Source organism: Homo sapiens, chromosome 1, assembly GCF_000001405.40.
Source record: "Homo sapiens chromosome 1, GRCh38.p14 Primary Assembly".
In the NCBI taxonomy this organism is placed as follows: Eukaryota; Metazoa; Chordata; class Mammalia; order Primates; family Hominidae; genus Homo; species Homo sapiens.
In genome coordinates, this window is record NC_000001.11 from 33,333,147 (window position 1) to 33,350,243 (window position 17,097).

The 17,097-nt window shown below is 46.8% G+C and overlaps 1 protein-coding gene and 1 pseudogene across 10 annotated transcripts in view, besides 3 other annotated features; both read right to left on the reverse strand.

Annotated features, from left to right (window-relative positions):
• Positions 1 to 17,097, reverse strand: part of PHC2 (polyhomeotic homolog 2) — a 107,470-nt gene that overhangs the window by 9,521 nt on the left and 80,852 nt on the right. For 9 of the 10 annotated variants that reach the window (NM_001385123.1, NM_001330488.2, NM_001385121.1 and 6 more), the window contains one exon: positions 944 to 1,146. In NM_001385123.1, coding sequence (NP_001372052.1) covers positions 944 to 1,146 — 203 coding nt within the window. Of the gene's footprint in view, positions 1 to 943; positions 1,147 to 16,450; positions 16,754 to 17,097 lie in introns of those variants that run through there. The other variant, NM_004427.4, reaches the window with a different exon arrangement.
• On the reverse strand, positions 3,420 to 3,718 carry RN7SKP16 (RN7SK pseudogene 16; annotated as a pseudogene).
• Positions 9,084 to 9,692: an enhancer, noted in NCBI's record as "OCT4-NANOG-H3K27ac-H3K4me1 hESC enhancer chr1:33807831-33808439 (GRCh37/hg19 assembly coordinates)". NCBI's record gives its function as "activates a minimal SCP1, AML or CMV promoter by ChIP-STARR-seq in primed H9 embryonic stem cells {active_cell/tissue: H9 hESC(primed)}" and the evidence as "EXISTENCE:reporter gene assay evidence [ECO:0000049][PMID:30033119]".
• Positions 16,010 to 16,939: an enhancer, noted in NCBI's record as "H3K27ac-H3K4me1 hESC enhancer chr1:33814757-33815686 (GRCh37/hg19 assembly coordinates)". NCBI's record gives its function as "activates a minimal SCP1, AML or CMV promoter by ChIP-STARR-seq in naive H9 embryonic stem cells {active_cell/tissue: H9 hESC(naive)}" and the evidence as "EXISTENCE:reporter gene assay evidence [ECO:0000049][PMID:30033119]".
• Positions 16,395 to 16,914: a silencer, noted in NCBI's record as "silent region_623". NCBI's record gives its function as "represses an Ori minimal core promoter by ATAC-STARR-seq in GM12878 lymphoblastoid cells {active_cell/tissue: GM12878}" and the evidence as "EXISTENCE:reporter gene assay evidence [ECO:0000049][PMID:35858748]".

The following is a 17,097-nucleotide window of genomic DNA, read 5'->3' on the forward strand; positions in this document are numbered from 1 at the left end:
TTCTAGCTAAGGTGTTCCAGGCAGATTTCTTTGCCACTGGCCTTGGACAACCTCCAGTGGGAAAGAAGACAAGAAGCTATGTGTCTTTTGGCATTTTACAGGAGCAGTTCACCCATCTCAGTTAATCAAGCTCCGCGTCTTCTGCAGACTAATCAAACCACTCATGGAACCAAAGAATGAGGAAAAGGCAGATGGTATCCCAGAAAGGTGTCTTCTCCAACAGCCAGATACTTTTCATCAGAACAGAGGCTGGTGTGCCGCTGGCTCTGGGCTCCTCCACACCCACAGGGCAGCACCACTGTCTCCAGTGCACACTGCACAGAAGCAGCTCTGGGTGCTTTGGTCAATAACCCATCTTCGTGGCTCGTGGATATTTCTTGTTAGTCTTAGGCTTCCATCGTGACCTTTCTGAGTGCCCCTCAATCTCATTAACTCCCCTTTCAAGGCTCTGTCCCCAGAAAACAAGCTTCAGGTTGTGACCCTGTTTCCTCACATTCATTTCTGATACACGTATCTGGAGAATTCTGTTCTGTGCAATTCCTTTTGTTCCTAACTGGCCGAAGTTTTGCCATTCAGAGGTTTTGGCATTCAAAACTCAATGAAATCTAATTTCCCAAAACCCATCATCTCTCACCAAATATCCCACAGTGAACTCCCTTTTAACCAAGGGTTCACACATCAACAGGCAGGGACACACCTGAGTTTGTGTGGGAAACTTCTAACCAAGGGTCTTGTCAATTATTCCTGATCACTGACCCCCCTCTTCTGGACCTTGGAAAGATAATCCTAGAAAGAAATGGCTCTATATTCTTTGGGGGAGGAAGTTAGCAAGGAAAGAGCAAATTGTTCACATTTTCAGAAATTTTACATGGAAATGTAAAAATATTCTAAGACACATCCAAAATATACTTAAAAAAAAAAGGGGAAAAGAAGTAGTCCGTACCGGGAAAGGCTCCGCCCCCTCCTGGATCACAAACCCTTCGATAACATGCGTCAGGATTTGGGGTTTCACAATGGCCTGTGGTGGTTTATTCTCACCATTCTGGGGGGCAGTGCCGGCGATGCTGGAGGCAGAGTTTCCGTTCCCTGAGGTCATGCCGGGGCTGCTGAGGTCGGTCAGTGCATGAACAATGCCCTGCCCTGTCTCTGCACGAGAGAGAGTAGGAAAACAAAGCAGGGGAGATCAGAACCAGAGTCCACGCCCAGGGAGGGACAGCAAGGACTCAAACTGCGCCCGGCTTTTACCGTGGGGCCAAGCGACAATGCAAACCAAGCAGTCCCCTCCCCTCAGTGACCCATTTAAAAGTGGCACAGTTTCAATGGACACATCACCAAGTATGAGTATAGTCAGTTCCACAACAACGCATGCAGCTAATCAGCTAGCAGTGTTTCTTCATTTCCCAACCGTGCTATGAACAGTTAACCCGGATAAACAGACGGGAATTCTATCTTTGAGGAGTTAAGACCTTGGTCGATACTGATTTGAACAAATAAGGTTAATACTCAGTTTGAGGGAGAAAAGTATTCAAGGTGACATCTAAAACCAGGACAAGAAGCTGAGCTAGGTATAGGGCTTTGAGTGTGATAAAGAGAAGCTTCTACGAGGTTCCTTAGAGGAGGGATTTTAAGAGCCCTGTGAAATGTCAAAACACTGAACCCCAGAAATTGATGCCAAGGGAATGTGGGTGCTGAACCCCAAGTAAAGGCTATCATGTATATTTGACTATTCAGAGACTGGTCATCTGGGGTCAGTGCATTGAAATATGCAGAAATTCCATTTCTCTGCTAAGAAGGCTGCTAGGCAGAGGCTGAGATTTTCTCTGCTGTTTCTGCTGAGCTGAGTGCTCTCAAAATCAGTCCTCATGCCCAGATGTCAGCTTCTTATCTAATCTGATCCTCACCAAATCATAGATCCTCTGTCTCTCTGTGGACAACCTTTCCTAATTCTCCTTCCCCATGGGCCTGCTAGCCTTCCTCTAAAAGACCTAACAGAGTGCTCCAGAAAGTGAGATTACATGCCTATACACAACCACACGACAGTGAACTTCCTCTCTTCCACTTCAAACAGCATCTCTCATGAGCTGTCTCATTGTCTTAGACGTGCAAGACTTCATCTCCTCACTTCTGTAACTCTCTCCCGCCCCCTTCCCAGGGCTGTTCTCTACCACCATCAACTGCCCCGTGAGCTGAGGCTGCCTTTAACCTGGAACTTCCTAAAAAAGAAAAGAAAAAGCCATTTCTTTATTGCAACAAGTCCATTAATATAAAGCATACCCCAGTGAGGTATGAGTGATATATACTTTAAAAGTGATTTCAGCACACTTGTTAAGTAATCTTTGCATAAAACTTTATATGAAGATGCTCATATTTCATGTTAAAGATCCATAATACCACCACAGAATAGGAATTCTTTGTGCTTAATTATATAGTATGGAAAAGTCAAAACAGACACGTTTGAGAAAAGGTGGTTTAGGGCCAGGCATGGCGGCTCACACCTGTAATCTCAGCACTTTGGAAGACCGAGGCGGGTGGATCACCAGGTCAAGAGTTGAAGACCAGCCTGGCCAACATGGTGAAACCCTGTCTCTACTAAGAATACAAAAATTATCCAGGCATGGTGGTGCGTGCCTGTAATCCCAGCTACTCAGGAGGCTGAGGCAGGAGAACTGCTTGAACCCAGGGGGTGGAGGCTGCAGTGAGCTGAGATCTCGCCACCCCCCTCCAGCCTGGGCGACAGAGCAAGACTCTATCTTGGGGGGGGAGGGGGGGAAAGAAAAGATGGTTTATGACTAGTTCATAATGGGTCTTGGTCCACTCAAGCTCATGTTTTTGTTGTTGTTGTTGTTGTTGTTTTTTTTTTTAGATGGAGTCTCACTCTGTCACCCAGGCTGGAACGCAGTGGTGCGACCTATGCTCACTGCAACCTCTGCCTCTCAGGTTCAAGCGATTCTCCTGCCTTGGCCTCCTGAGTAGCTGGGATTACAGGCACGTACCACCATACCCGGCTAATTTTTGTATTTTTAGTAGGGACTGGGTTTCACCATGTTGGCCAGGCTGGTCTCGAACTCCTGATCTCAGGTGGTCCACCTGCCTCAGCCTCGCAAAGTGCTGGGATTACAGGCATGAGCCACCGCGCCCAGCCTCAAGCTCATGTTCTTACTGGTGGTTCTAATGCTAACTAAACCAGGATAAACCTTTAATGAACAAGAGTTGACTATGACTCATGTCTTTAGTACTCAGTCCTCCATAATTCAGCTACATAATAAACTTCTGAGCTGAGCAGGGGCCATCTAAGAGAAAGGACCAATGAAGTTTTTTTTGTTTGTTTGAGACACAGTTATACCAGTAAGTTAGAAAGTTTCCATTAAGTGCCTATATTCACTTGAAAAAAAATTTTTAAACAGCTTTGGCTTTTCTGTAGAGATGGAAACATTTCCTTTCTTTTAGAATTAGTCTTTCCAATTGCAAAGGTGTCTGAGAACTTGAGAGCTTGTCTGGAGGTTCTAGCAGGGGAGGGCAGCTACTCGTATGCCCTTGACTGAGGGACGGCCCTCCTCTACGGGATGGTCGTCCTCTTTGACCCAGCTGCTGGTTCAGGAGGGACGCACATGGAGCAGTGAAGGAGGAAGGGGACACCTGCGTAGCCAGCCAGATCAGCGGAATCAACTCTGCCGATCAATGGGGTGACAGGTGTTGCAGCCAGATGGCCCTCACATCCATGTTTGAGAACGTAGAAAAAACCCCTTTCCCTCACAATCTATGAATAACTAGGAGGACTGAGTTGATGATTCAATCAAATTAAGTTTCTGTGCTTTTAAATTTTAAATATTTAACTCTGCCTTTACACAATTACATTTTCTCTGCTTTTATGTTTTGCATATGCTAAGAAACATCTATTTTATTTAAAATGAATTACTAACATAGATTACTATGAAAGCTAAAATTTTGTTTTTTAGATGATGGCTATTTCCTCCCAATTAGAGCCTGGTAAAAAATATTCCCTGATGAGTCTAATGAACTGCAGATTATACAATTATAGGATTGGAAAGTCTGGTTCGATCTCTTGCCAATGCTTGAAAATTTTCTATAATATGCCCACCCAATGATTTTCTGGCATTTGTTTGAATACCTCCAGCGACAAAGAAACTCACTACTCTGGAAGCAGTTTGTTCCCACCTTGGACGGCTCATTAGTGATTCCTTATATAACGAGCCCAAAATCTGTCTTTCTATTAATTTCTGCCCAGTTATCCTCGTTCTGTTCCTTAAACTCACAGAGAACAAGGCCAATCAGATTTGTCTAACAGGCAGAGACACGGGCTTAGACCTGGCTTAGAGACTGGTCTCTATCATTGAGTCAACTGCGGGCAAGTCATTGTCCCTCTCTAAGCCTCAGCTTCACTGGCTGTGAAATAAGGATCCTACGCCTACCTTAGAGTGCTGCTGTGAGGACTAATGAGCCAGTGAAAGGCAGTGCGTGCTAGCTTACGAGAAAATGCTTGAGAATGCTCCTGGTGTCATGAAGGATGTCACTCATGACCACAGTCTTCTCTCCTCCAGGACAAAGCCCTTCTGTTCTTTCAGGTATTTCTTACATAAAAAGGCTACAAATTCGTAATCATCCTAGGCCCTCTCTGCCCACATCTTTTAACATCAGGTACCTAGTTAATACTAAGCATCATCTGTCAGGTGTAGTCATGTAAGAGATCTGGTTGGTAAGATTTTTGGTTTTCTGTGTTTGCTTTAAAGACAGTCACATCTCTGACTGAGAGCATAGGTAGAAAGTATTAATTCCCTTGTTTCAGTTTAATGAATTCTTCCATGGAATTAATCCATTCTCCTCTTAATTCTGGGATCACTCCCACCTCCTGCCTCTTTCGCTGATAGTCATCAGAAAACAGCCCCCCTCTGACCTTGTCTTTTGTGGGATCCCTCTATCCTTGCTTGACTTCCCTGCCTCCATCCCCCACTCCTGTCTCAGATCTATGCCTATTAATGTTCACTGCAAGACAGAAGATCACTCTTGAGGTCAGAGTCTGTCTTCATGCCAGATACATTCGTGAGCAGATATGGTCACCAGCTCAAAGGCTACAGAGCCAATGCTTAACTCTGGGAAGCAAAACTTTTTGGAATTTGAGGTTGTTTTTTAAAAAAGATCTTGTTAAGAGAGAGAACACACTAAAAAACTCTTGCACCACATTAGAAACTACCACTCCCCATTGTAACCCAGGGCAGATCAAAGGAGAGACAGAATCCAAGGGACAGATGGGAGAGTGTTTTATGAATATACAAAGGTTCACAGCTACTTCGCTTTGCAGTCATCTTGTAGACCAATAGCTCCTCATCTGCTTTAGTAACAAAGGAGTTTGGGCTATTCCTGGAATGACCGAACACAATCTCGCCCCCTGCCAAGCTCAGCACACTGAGATTAATTTAATCTGCTTCCCGCTCTCCCAGACTGCTTTGCGGCCTTTGGGGAAAAGCAGCTTAACAGTGAAACTTGCAGAAACCTGCCCTGCTGGCCCTGAGGCCAGATAAAAGAGACAAAGAAATACTCTGAATTTGGTTCCTTACTCAATTCCCTTGACCAGTTCAGAGGCTATAAGTGCTGCCGGGCATTCCCACAGGTCTCAAATGCCTGTATACAGTCAGGCACCTGAAACCGAAAGGTGGAGGCAGGATAAGGCCGATGGGAGAGGCTGGGGGAGGGGAGTAAAGCTAGGCTTCGGTGGGGGAAGGGGGAGGTAAAATCTTGGCCTTTAGTTGACGCTGACCACAAAGGGCCAAGTATTCCGGTCAGAATGAACAGAGCAGCATGTTCCACGGAGTCTTGCCTAACATATGTCTCAACTTCTAGGCTGTTTCTCATTTCTGGTCTCATTCACAGGCTCTGGTACAAACAGCCCTTACAGGGGTGGGAGAAAACAGGAAGGACTACTCAGCTCCTGTTTGTGAAATTATCTGCTTTGGGACTGGTCACGTCTCCTAAGCAGAGCAGACTTCTCTAGGCAGGGGGCTACCACTCACTCAGTCACCTCGAGATCTTCAGGGGCTAACCCCATGTCCAAAATATGACAGGTGCTTAATGACCACTAAACTGGAATGTGTGGCATCCATGATCTCAGTCTTCACTGTCTACATATAGAATACAGGGCTGCCTAGTGCCAAGATAAGCAATTTGGCACTAGCTGAGATTTACAAGTTGCTTTCTGAAGCTATGATGTTTTGAGAGCAGCTAGGCTGGTGGTACCTGCCTACCGGAGCGGCATTTCTAGATACCTGATTATGAAGAATAAGAGCTATTTTTTGGCCCATGTCTTCCTGTTACAGTGGGGATTTCCTCAACAGAAAAGAGGTACAGGTGGACCTCTGAATTCCCTGTCCCCTTTGAAACATTTTTGCCAGACCCAGGCACTTGGCAAGGCAGGATGACCTCTAGAGGCAGAGGCAGGGAGGCTCCTAGGACCAGTGGGTTGATGTCCAGAGCTGACGGGCTCTCCAGCCTGCTGAGGACAGACGTCAGGCTGGTGCCAGTTATGCACAATTGGGCCACTTCAGAGCCAGTGCTGATGTTTTGTTTTGTTATACTGGAATACAGCTTAGTACAGGTTAAGTATCCCTTATCCAAAATGCCTGGGACCAGAAGTGTTTTTAATTTTGGATTTTTTCAGGTTTTAGAATATTTGCATTATACTTACTGGTTGAGCATCCCAAATCCAAAAATCTGAAACGCTCCAATGAGCATTTCCTTTGAGTATCACGTAGGTGCTCAAAAAGTTTGGGATTTTGGAGCATTTTGGATCTGGGATGCTCAATCTGTACTAACATCTGCAACAGGTATTTCAGATGGCCTAGCACTCATTCTATCTGACCCTAAGATAGCCTGAAGACATGGCTTCAAAGGCAATGGAGACCAAACGGAGCTTTTCCTTCTACCCCCTCACCTTGGTCAATGGCTGATTTCCACCTTATCATGAGAAGGGAGTATGTATTTTAACTTAAAAGACTTCTATTTACTGTTTGGTTGCAGTAGGAGTATGACAGAGCTAATGAAATGAATAAAGAATTTAAAGAAGCAGAGTAGATGATAACATGGCTCATTTTCTTACAACAAATTCTGCTCAACAAATGGCAAACAAGGTCACCTATAAAACCCAAAGCACACTCTCCAAGCCCCCAGCACTGAAGTCACGCTCACTGTGCTGCAGTTCAGCAGGCCCAGCCATGTGGCCAGGGTGGTCTCTGCAGGGTTCCCAAGGAACCATTTGCTCTAGAAACCGCCTCAGTGGAGCACTGCAGAGTGATGCCCAGTTAAACCATATCCAGGAGACAGCAGCAAACACAGCACATACCTGGTCCAAGCAACAGGCCGTACTGCAGTGCGGTAAGCTGAGGACAGAGTGCCCAGTCCTCATGGAAAGATCTGGGGCCACGCTTTACAATTTCTTTGGTTATATTTGGGCCCCCAAAGAAATTAATGCCACTGAAAGTGAGGAAGGCAAGAGATTTCACAAACACCTGTTTGTTGACACCTTCCCCCAGGGCGGGGTAAGTGAAGGGTAGGAAAGTGACTGAGAGGGAGTTGCGGGGAGGAGGGAGGGGAACAGGCAGGCTGAGCTCTATCTGGGACCCTGACAGAGTCCATCAATTAGAGATTCATTTGGTTAACAATTTCTTTAAAATGCAAGTATACATCTTACAGTCATTCACACTTTACTGTGAATTACTCGACTCAGATAAACAGATTGCTTTCCTCCCAATTTAGGGATGGGGTGGGGGAGGGGGTGGGTAGTGATTGTTTTGGATCACGGGGCACTAGATCCCAGAGGATTAAAGTTAGAAAGGCCCTGAGTTTAACATCTTAAATGTCCTAGATGAAGCAACTTGGCCTCAGAGGTGAGGTGATTTGCCCAAGGTCACAAAAGGTCACAAAAAAAGACTCTAGGCTTAAATCCCATCCTGTAATGCTGGGCAAGTTACTCTAGGCCTGTTTCCTCATCTATGAAATGGGGTACTTATATCTGTCTTACATATAGCTGTGGTGAGGATTAAATAATGTAATGCAGGCACAACACACTGGACTAGGCTGAGCTTGGACACAGGCAGTGGCAGAACCCACACTAGAACCCAGTGCTTTAGACTTTTCCGGGTGGGCCACACAGGTGGAGGGAGGGCTGCGCTGATTAGCCGTGGATAGCACGAGGGCACTTGGGAAAAGAGGACAAGACATGTAAACTGTATTCTGGGACCTTCTGAGGCAGAGGCCAGATATCACATGTGGGCTGGAGCATTTGGGTTGGGAAGCACAGGATGATCTAGATGAGTGATTCCCAAATTGGGATTCCTGGATGACTAAGCAGGATCCCTGAATCTAGTTAATCAGGACGCACAAGCTGGATTCAATATCTGAAGAAGCCGAAAAGGAAACAGCACATAATATATACCTTCAGGAGGGCAAAACATGCTATTATTTAATATCATGTTACCATGTTTCCCAAATTCTAAAATGCAGTCAGTTGTTAAGATGACCCATTTCCCCCACAACGAATTTACACATTGATTACGTGTGCGTCTCAAGTACAGATTGTAAAAGTGTGCATTTTAGAATAAAACAAACGAATGCCATTTATTTGGAAGACAGTATCTTGTAAAACATGCACAAAATGAACTCTTAGTGGTGGGAAAATTATAGACCCTTCCCACCTGGGGTCCTCTGAATACCAGAAGGCAGGGGGAACATCCAATGTCTGCAGCCTTTTCAAATCTGCTAAGGGCAGAGCTGTCAAAGGGACAAGGACTCCTTGCCTTGACACAGCAGGCTGTGGCTCCCTGAGGAACCTCTCTGAAGCACCTCCTCTGAAGGACCTCTCCCAGAGAAGGGAAGGCACAGCAGTGACAGAAGGACCCTGTGGGGCTCTTTGCTGAGAAAACTGGTGAGCTTTTCAGGCACAGGAGGGTCACTGGCTGCGGATGACTGAGATCCACACCTGAGTTCCTTGCAGGGGGCTGGCCAGCAGGATGAAGGAGAGGCCAAGCCAGGGGACCCTCCAGCCTTGCCCTCAGCGTCACTGCAAAATGCTCTTGCTGGGTCTGGGTTGAAAGGTTTGGAGAGCTTACTGGATTTTAAGCATCTGTGTTGACCAGCTCCCGTTAAGGCATCTGGCAGGGAGGGGGCTCCTCCCATGCTGGCAGCCATTACCATACAGCTGACTTTCATGCTGTCTCTCAGGACACAGGCAAAGAGAACGGCCCTTCTGACTCACCCACAATCCCCAGCTAAAGTGTACATAAGCTGAATTGTAAACAGCTGAATGTGCTCCAAGCTGCCACCCCCAGCTATGCAGGAAGGAATCAATGGAGCGAACAGCCACCCTCCCCCCACCCCATGCAGTTCAGGACAACGGGAGCAGTGGGGGATTTCCAAACAGCTGCTTGAACGCTTCCCAGCCCACAGGCTGAGGACTGCAAGAGGGGCCTGAGCTCAAACTCAGCAGCAGCACCTGCAGGACCAGAGTGACTTCCACCAGGTCAACACACCAGGGAATAATAGCTGGCCCTGGCTGCAGGGAGTCAGGGAGGAGTTTTCAAAGAGTTCTACTTAACCCTGGTGATGGAGGCCAGTCCACTGGTATCCAATGCCAGGGTCAAGGGCTCCCAGATAGTCTCACATCATAGTGCTCCGGCCCATGCTATGATTTCAAAACGCAAAATGTCTAGAACCAATGGGAGAGGTTCTACAGTAGACACTAAGATCAGGGGAGATAAAAGGAAGAATGGCAGAGTAGAAAGAGCATGGGCTCTGGGGGCCAGACCTGGACTCATATTCTGTTCCACCTTTAATCAAAGGTGTGTGGCTTCAAGCACTCACTGCCTGTTCTGAGTCTTGGTTTCTCCATCTGTAACAACGAGGCTCATACTACCTACCTGTCTGGGAGGTTTCAGTAAATATTATATATGTAAAATGCCTGGCACTGAATACACGCAGAAGCTGTGCTACATGGCAGTTAAGACTGTGGGATTAGAAAGACTCTAGGCGGCCAGGTACAGTGGCTCATGCCTGTAATCCTAGCACTTTGGGAGGCTGAGGTGGGTGGATCACGACGTCAAGAGATTGAGACCATCCTGGTCAACATGGTGAAACCCTGTCTCTAGTAAAAATACAAAAAAAAAAATAAATAACTGGGTGTGGTGGCGAGCGCCTGTAGTCCCCGCTACTCGGGAGGCTGAGGCAGGAGAATTGCTTGAACCCTGGAGGCAGAGGTTGCAGTGAGCCGAGATTGCACCACTGCACTCCATCCTGGCAACAGAGCAAGACTCTGTCTCAAAAAAAAAAAAAAAAAAAAAAAGACTCTAGGCTTAAATCCTATCCTGTAATGCTGGACAAGTTACTCTAGGCCTCTTTCCTCATCTATGAAATGGGATACTTATATCTGTCTTACATATAGCTGTGGTGAGGATTAAATAATGTAATGCAGGCACAACACACTGGACTAGGCTGAGCTTGGACACAGGAGTGCCAACGTCACTGAGACCTGTGAGAAGATTAGGAAATCATTCTAATCTCACTCTTTCACTGAGTCTGGCCTCTTACAGCCCCAGAGCAGGGCTAATCTTTCCGTGGCCCAAACTGAGGTATCTGAGGTTTGTGTTCCTCAGACGTCTTGGTCTACGTCGGTAGTCCTGTCCTTGCACTGTTGAGGTCAGGCTTCAGGAAGAAATGTTACCTCCACTGTGACTGCAACATAACAGAAATGCTTCTGTCCTAAAGGGCAAAGCAAAGTCTCAAGTCACCTTCAATGGCTATTAATCTAAAGGACAAGAAGACAAGCACCAGATTCTCTTTCTATGCAGTTTTTTCATAAAGGGGGGTTTTAAGCAGACAGTGCAGAAGAACCCTAGAAACCAAAAGAAAGGTTAACTTTAAGACAAATAAAAGGAAGCACTGCTTTACTTAGAAAATACTAAATTTATGTAACTTGTAATGCCAGATGATTTAGCTTATGAAAAGAAATTAGTTTAAAAGGCTAAAAATAAACCCAGTTTAAGATAAACTCATGGAAGATGGATTTCTACCGGTTTACAAAAGAAATCTAGAAATGTTTAGTAAACTCTCCAATTATTTTCAGGTTGATAACAGGGAAAGGCAGCCATGTTCCCCAATATGATGACTATTTTTTTGGTTATCAACTGCAGCATCACTAATATTGTTAGATAAATGTCAGGGGAGACTGGGAGGAGGGAACACTAAGCCTCAGTTGTCCTGTCTATATTATGGACTACATACTACATACCTTGCAAATCAGTTCTATTGATCATTTCTGCTCATGGAAACATTACTCCTTTCCTCCTTATAACCATTGTCTAAGCTTCCAGTCAACCCTATTTTGCCACCAGTCAACTGATAGAACAGATTAATACTGATTACTGGAGGCCTCAAAATATGGATTTAATCAAATTTTTTTATTTTTTATTTTTTGAGATGAGGCCTCGCTCTGTCACCCAGGCTGGAGTGCAGTGGCACGATCATGGCTCACTGAAGCCTCGACTGTCCACACTTAAGCGATCCTCCCACCTCGGTCTCCTGAGCAACTGAGACCACAGGCGTGTGCCACTATGCCCAGGTAATTTTTTTTTTTAATTATCTGTAGAGGCGAGGTCTTGTTATATTGCTCAGGCTGGTCTCGAACTCCTGCGCTCAAGTGATCCTCCTGCCTCGGCCCCCCAGGCATGAGCCACCGTGCCTGGTCCCAATTTTTTTTTTTAAAGTAGTTGCTTCATATTAGTTTTGTTTTAATTTAAAGTGTCATTTGCTTTGATTGTTCAAAAATGTCTTAATATAGCTGTGTGGCTTTAGGTCACATATGGATGGTTTCAAATATGCTAAAGATACCAGTAACTAGGGATAATTATATAGTATTTGAGACATAACAGCCATGCAACTAGAGTTTTAAAAATAACTCAAGCAGTCACGAACTTTCATTTTCTTGCCAACAGTTCCAATATTCAGTATCAGGCCTGGTCCTCCTAATCTACTGGAGAAGAGTTGGTTATGGCATGGCATCTAATAGTCATCTCTTCTTAATACAAATGATAATAAATTTCACTGCTAAGACGACAATCATCTGAAAAAAACAGACATTTGCTTATGTTTTAAAGTCATAATAGCAAACTGGGGCTCTCTTCAACATCTGGATTCATCTCAGAGCACTGGCAATCTGTGTTTAACAGCAGTCATGTCTTTACCAGATGTAGAAAGAATGTTCTCTTCTTTTGGACTTACCTAAATATCATTTGGAAATTGGAAGAACAGGAAAGCATATCCTTTTTCACTAACTATAAAAATAATTTGGAAGGAGAAGGAAACAAAAAAAACCTTGAAGTTTTCTATGCTGGTCTACATGGTCTTACAATGAATCTCAGAGCAACGGTTTATGACTTAAATTATATGCTGTGTTCCTTAGCATACTTTTTCTTCAAAAACTAGTAATTCTAAATTGTATAATTCTTGACTATGATAAAAGAGCCCATTTCTTGACCATGTCATTTATACTGGACTTTTGTTACTGATGGGGAAAAATCCAGAATTTGTAATAATTATGTCTTGGATATGCAAATGGTTGATTATTTTCCTAACAATTCCCAAAATATCCACATCATAAAGCAGAATTAAAGATGGTTTGCCTCTCAATACCTTTAGAAATATCAAATCAGTGTTCTGATGTGGCTAGTAATTCAAATGAAAAATGTTAAATAAGTCATTGCTTCAAGTGAAGCCTACCTCTGTTTGAGTTGTGAATAAGTAGTTATCTTAAATAGGCAACTTTTTTTAAAAACAGAAAACATATTCAAAAAGGGTTTTAACTGGTGACTCATAGTTTAAACCATGCCCTAAAAACATTTAAAGCATAAATCTATGTGTTCAGACTCCCATCTTGAGGGGTAGTTCAGTTTTGGGTTCCATGAAACAAGGTGTTAAGTCCCCAAAGAGAGAGCCATTTCTGTCATTGGCACAAAGTCCCCATCAGAGTAGACTGCATAACGCAGTCAGTTCTCACCCTGCTTTCCCATAGGGCTGGGGACTGGGGGGAGGTGGGGAGGGTGGGCAGGCTCAGAGGGGCACCTCACTCCAGGACAGTCTCCTGAGGGGTACACAAAAGCCTCTCTCTACAACCACTTTTGTGAGATTCCTCCTGACCACAGAAAGTCATCATCATGATCATCTTTCAGTAGCAAAATGGCACAAAACAAAGGGAATAAAAGAGAAACTATCAATTATGAAGACTCCTCATTCTCATTTCCCTACTCTCGTCTCCAGTAGGTGTCCTTTCAGAAGAGAATCTTTCTATGGCTGGAACTAAATCTGTCTGGAGATTAAATATTGAACAGCTGGGAGAAGTTTAATATAAATTTAGACTGACTCAAGAAGAGGGAAAAACTCTTGGTAAACACCGTACTAATGATGAGCAGCATTACAGGAACTGGAGTCACCAACCTATTCCCTAGGTTTTTTAAACTTTAACTTTATTTTGGCTTGCTGATCCATGCTGGATGAAAGTGAGGAGGTGGGGGAACTTTACTTGGCAAATGGTTACTGAACGCCTGGCCTGAGGTCCACAGCCTAAAGGAGGACAGAGACTTAAGGGAAGAGTTTAAGGCAGTGAGGTCATCCCCTTTACACATTCACAATAGAGAAAAGTAGACAAAAAGACACCTACGAGCACACCAGTAGGGGTTCCTAATTCTGAGACAATAATCATGTTCTGTGTTTTTCCTTAAATAAGAAAATGTAGAGAGGGGACAGCCTATGTAAGAGCATACAAGGCCAGAGGTAAGAAGAGTTCAATTGTGTAAGATCATCCATCTACTTACTCCTCTTAACATGCCCTCTCCCCCTGAAAGATCAGAACCAAGGGATCCAAAGTATCTGAGACAGGAAATGAGTAACACAGGAAAAAGGATGTGGTCTGAAAAAGAGTGGATTCTGGGGCTGAGCCAGAGCAAGGAACAGGCACAGGGTCATAGCTGAGGGAAGGGCTTGGTGGCAGGAAGAGAAATCTCAGGGTCAGTCCGCTTAGACTAGAAAGTCAATGACAGAGCAGGTATGTCAGGGGAAGCAGCACAGTGCCTTCCTAAGAGGCTCTCCTTCCCTGAAGGAGGCAGAGAATGCAGAAACAATGGCTGATGAGATGATGAGACCCACAGCCAGGAGAATGATGACTGTGACAGAAGGAAAAGGGGCTGGAGGTCCTTCTTTACTTAGAGGGAAGAGTAAATAATATATATGGAGTGAGCTTGACAAAGGTAAATTAAAAATTAACCCAGGACCTGGGAGAGAGTGGAAAGGGCCAGGAGGTGGGGACATGATGAAACACCAACATTCATTAAGCACCTTTGTGCCACATGTCAGTAAAGAACAGTTTGGGGGAAAAAAGAAGGGGGTGAAAACAGGAGAGAAAACATAGTTGGACAACTGAGAAACCGACTCAAGTACAACAGAAAGGACTAAGAAACTACCCCCTTTCTCAAGATTCAGGCTGGAGGAAAAAGATGTCTATTCTTCCCTGTGTGCATGGACGAGCCTGGAAACAGATCTTGGGTGGGCTGAGAAGCAGAGCTCATGTGATGAAGAGTGCCTGGAAAGGGCAGGTGCCAAAAGAGCACCACTCCCCATCTGCCCGACCTTCTGCGAAACAAGCCCGCCCTTGTGAGTGAGCCAAGCCAGAGGCCCCAGTTCCCGCCTTGCAGGGGCTGGAACTTAGGTACAGAGAAATCACCAGTGGAAAACACAGTTTATCAGCTGGTTAGAAAGGGTGAATACTCCCAAATGTAGATCCAGATGTTGGGAGCTATTTGTTAAAATCACTTTTATATTCCCCAGTGCCTAGGGCAGTACTTTACCTAAAATGGGAGCCAAATAAAAGTATGTTAAATCTAACTGAATGAAACCAGAACTGCTTTGCTGTGCTGGTTATCTTAAGGTTCAAGACAGCCTCTTGCCCGATAACCAACACAGTCAGGTACTTTATTTCTGTTCTAAAGTCAAAACGATGGGAAGCCCTACATCCCTTGTGACCTAAACCTAAATCCTAATCAATAGGGTCTGCCACAGGTCTGTTGCCCTGTACCAGAATAAAAGATGGGCGGGTGGGGGAGGTGGGAAGAAATACAAGAGCAAGAAGGAATTTCCTTGCCTCATTAGCCTGTAATGTTCATGCTGACCTAGAAATCCTGGCAGTTCCAACATTTGGGTTGACTCAGGCGGGGAAGAAAAATCCCAGGTGAATGATAATTGGATTACCCAGTTATGCTCCAGAGCCAAATGGCTGGAAAAGGCCAGGTCAGTAGGCTGTGGTACAAAGTGACATTATTTTTTAAACCAAAAATGGAGATACTCAGGCTGATGGACAATGGGATGGAATAGTTTAAATTGGGGCTGTCCTAGAAAAATCAGGGACATATGATGGATTTAGGTAGGTAGCTTATTTTGCAAGGGATCCTCTGGGCCCAATATGCTAATGGAGAGGGGATTAAAGATCAAACACGGGAGATATCCGAGGGGAAGGCTGTCATTGATTTGTAAGGGAAGAAAAAGATGAAAAGAGTGTGTTCCGTACACAGCACATGAAGGTACATATCGTAGGTATGGAGTAGGAAGGAAAGGAAAGTTGTTCAGAACCGAAAGTATGTGGGTGAGATCAGTTCAGGTTATGGAAGACGGGTGGGTGGGCAGTAGCAGGGCACTGACTGGTATCCGACACGGGGCCCAGGGCTTAGTTCAGATGGTAGCGTCGCCACTGGTTTGCAACCTGACCTTGGGCCAATTATTTCCCTGTCTGTGGACTTCAGTTTAAATACAGAATCTCACAAATCCCGATTTTAATGTAAAGAAGCAACAAATATAGTCTACCTTCATTTGGCATAGGAAGGAGAGAAAACGCTCTTCTAAAAATGGAAGAAAAGACACAGAACAGCTTGTCCCTTTCCATCCAATTAAAAACCTCGTGAGACTGAACTAGATTAAAAACAAAACTCTCCAGCGAAGCCGCAGGCGCCTCCAAGATAGGGAGTCCACCACCAATAAAGTACGGCAGATGCCAGCAGTCTCGTCCCCGAACGCACCGTCCGTCCCAGGGAAGTCGCAGCGGCGGGGAGGCCGGTCCTAGGTTGGGGCTGGGGTGGGGTGTGCGGGGCCTGGGGACGCGGAAGCTGCGGCGCGCCGAGGTGACACGGCTTCCAGGGGCGACGGGCGCGCAGGGTCCCCAGGCGAGCGAGGCTGGGGAGCAGGGCACCTCCCAGGCGCCGCGCGGACGAGAGCCGCGACTGGCACGGCCTGGCAGCCGCGTAGGCCCGGGCCGTTAGGGGCACCGAGGGCGGTGCCCGACTTCCAGTGCGGCGAGCGCGGCCCCCGGCCTCCCTACTGGCGAGAACCCCTCCCCCGCCCCGGCACTGACCTGTCCAGGGCCCGGCTGGGCCTGGCCGGGCGGGGCCTACGCAGCCCCTCGGCCGGGCGCCGACTCGCGCGGGGTCCCGGGCCCGGGCGGGCCGCCTCCTCTCCGCCGGGAGCCTCCGAGCCGGGGCCCGGGGCTGCCGCGGCGCATCCGACCGCACCGGCCTGGCCGGCGTCAACAAAGGGCGGCCGGGGCGCGAGGCCGGGACGGGGGCGCGAGGCCGGGGCGGGAGCGCGGGCGGCGGCCGGGGTTGCGCGCGCGCGCGCGGCGGGCGCTCGAGGGCTGCAGCCGCCGCGGAGACAATGCGGCGAGTCTGGGACGGCTCCCGCGGCCGCCTCCGCCGGGGGCGGGGCGAGGGAGCGGGGCGGGGAGGGGCGGGGCCGCGGGAGGGGCGGGGCGGACACGGGCCGCGCGCTTCCTTTGTGCGGCGAGCCCCGCCTCGCGCCCTCCGGAAGGCGGGTTAGGGACGCCCGGGGCTCAGCTTAGGGAGGCGGGCGCCACGCCACGAGGAGGCTGCCCTGATAGCCGGTGCAAGTGCTCCTTGGCGGGGCGGCCCGCGACTCCCGCCTTGGACCGTTCACTCCCTGAGGGGCCTGGGGGTCAGTCAGAAGACTAACGACCACCAGTCACCGAGAGCTCAGTTCGTGCCA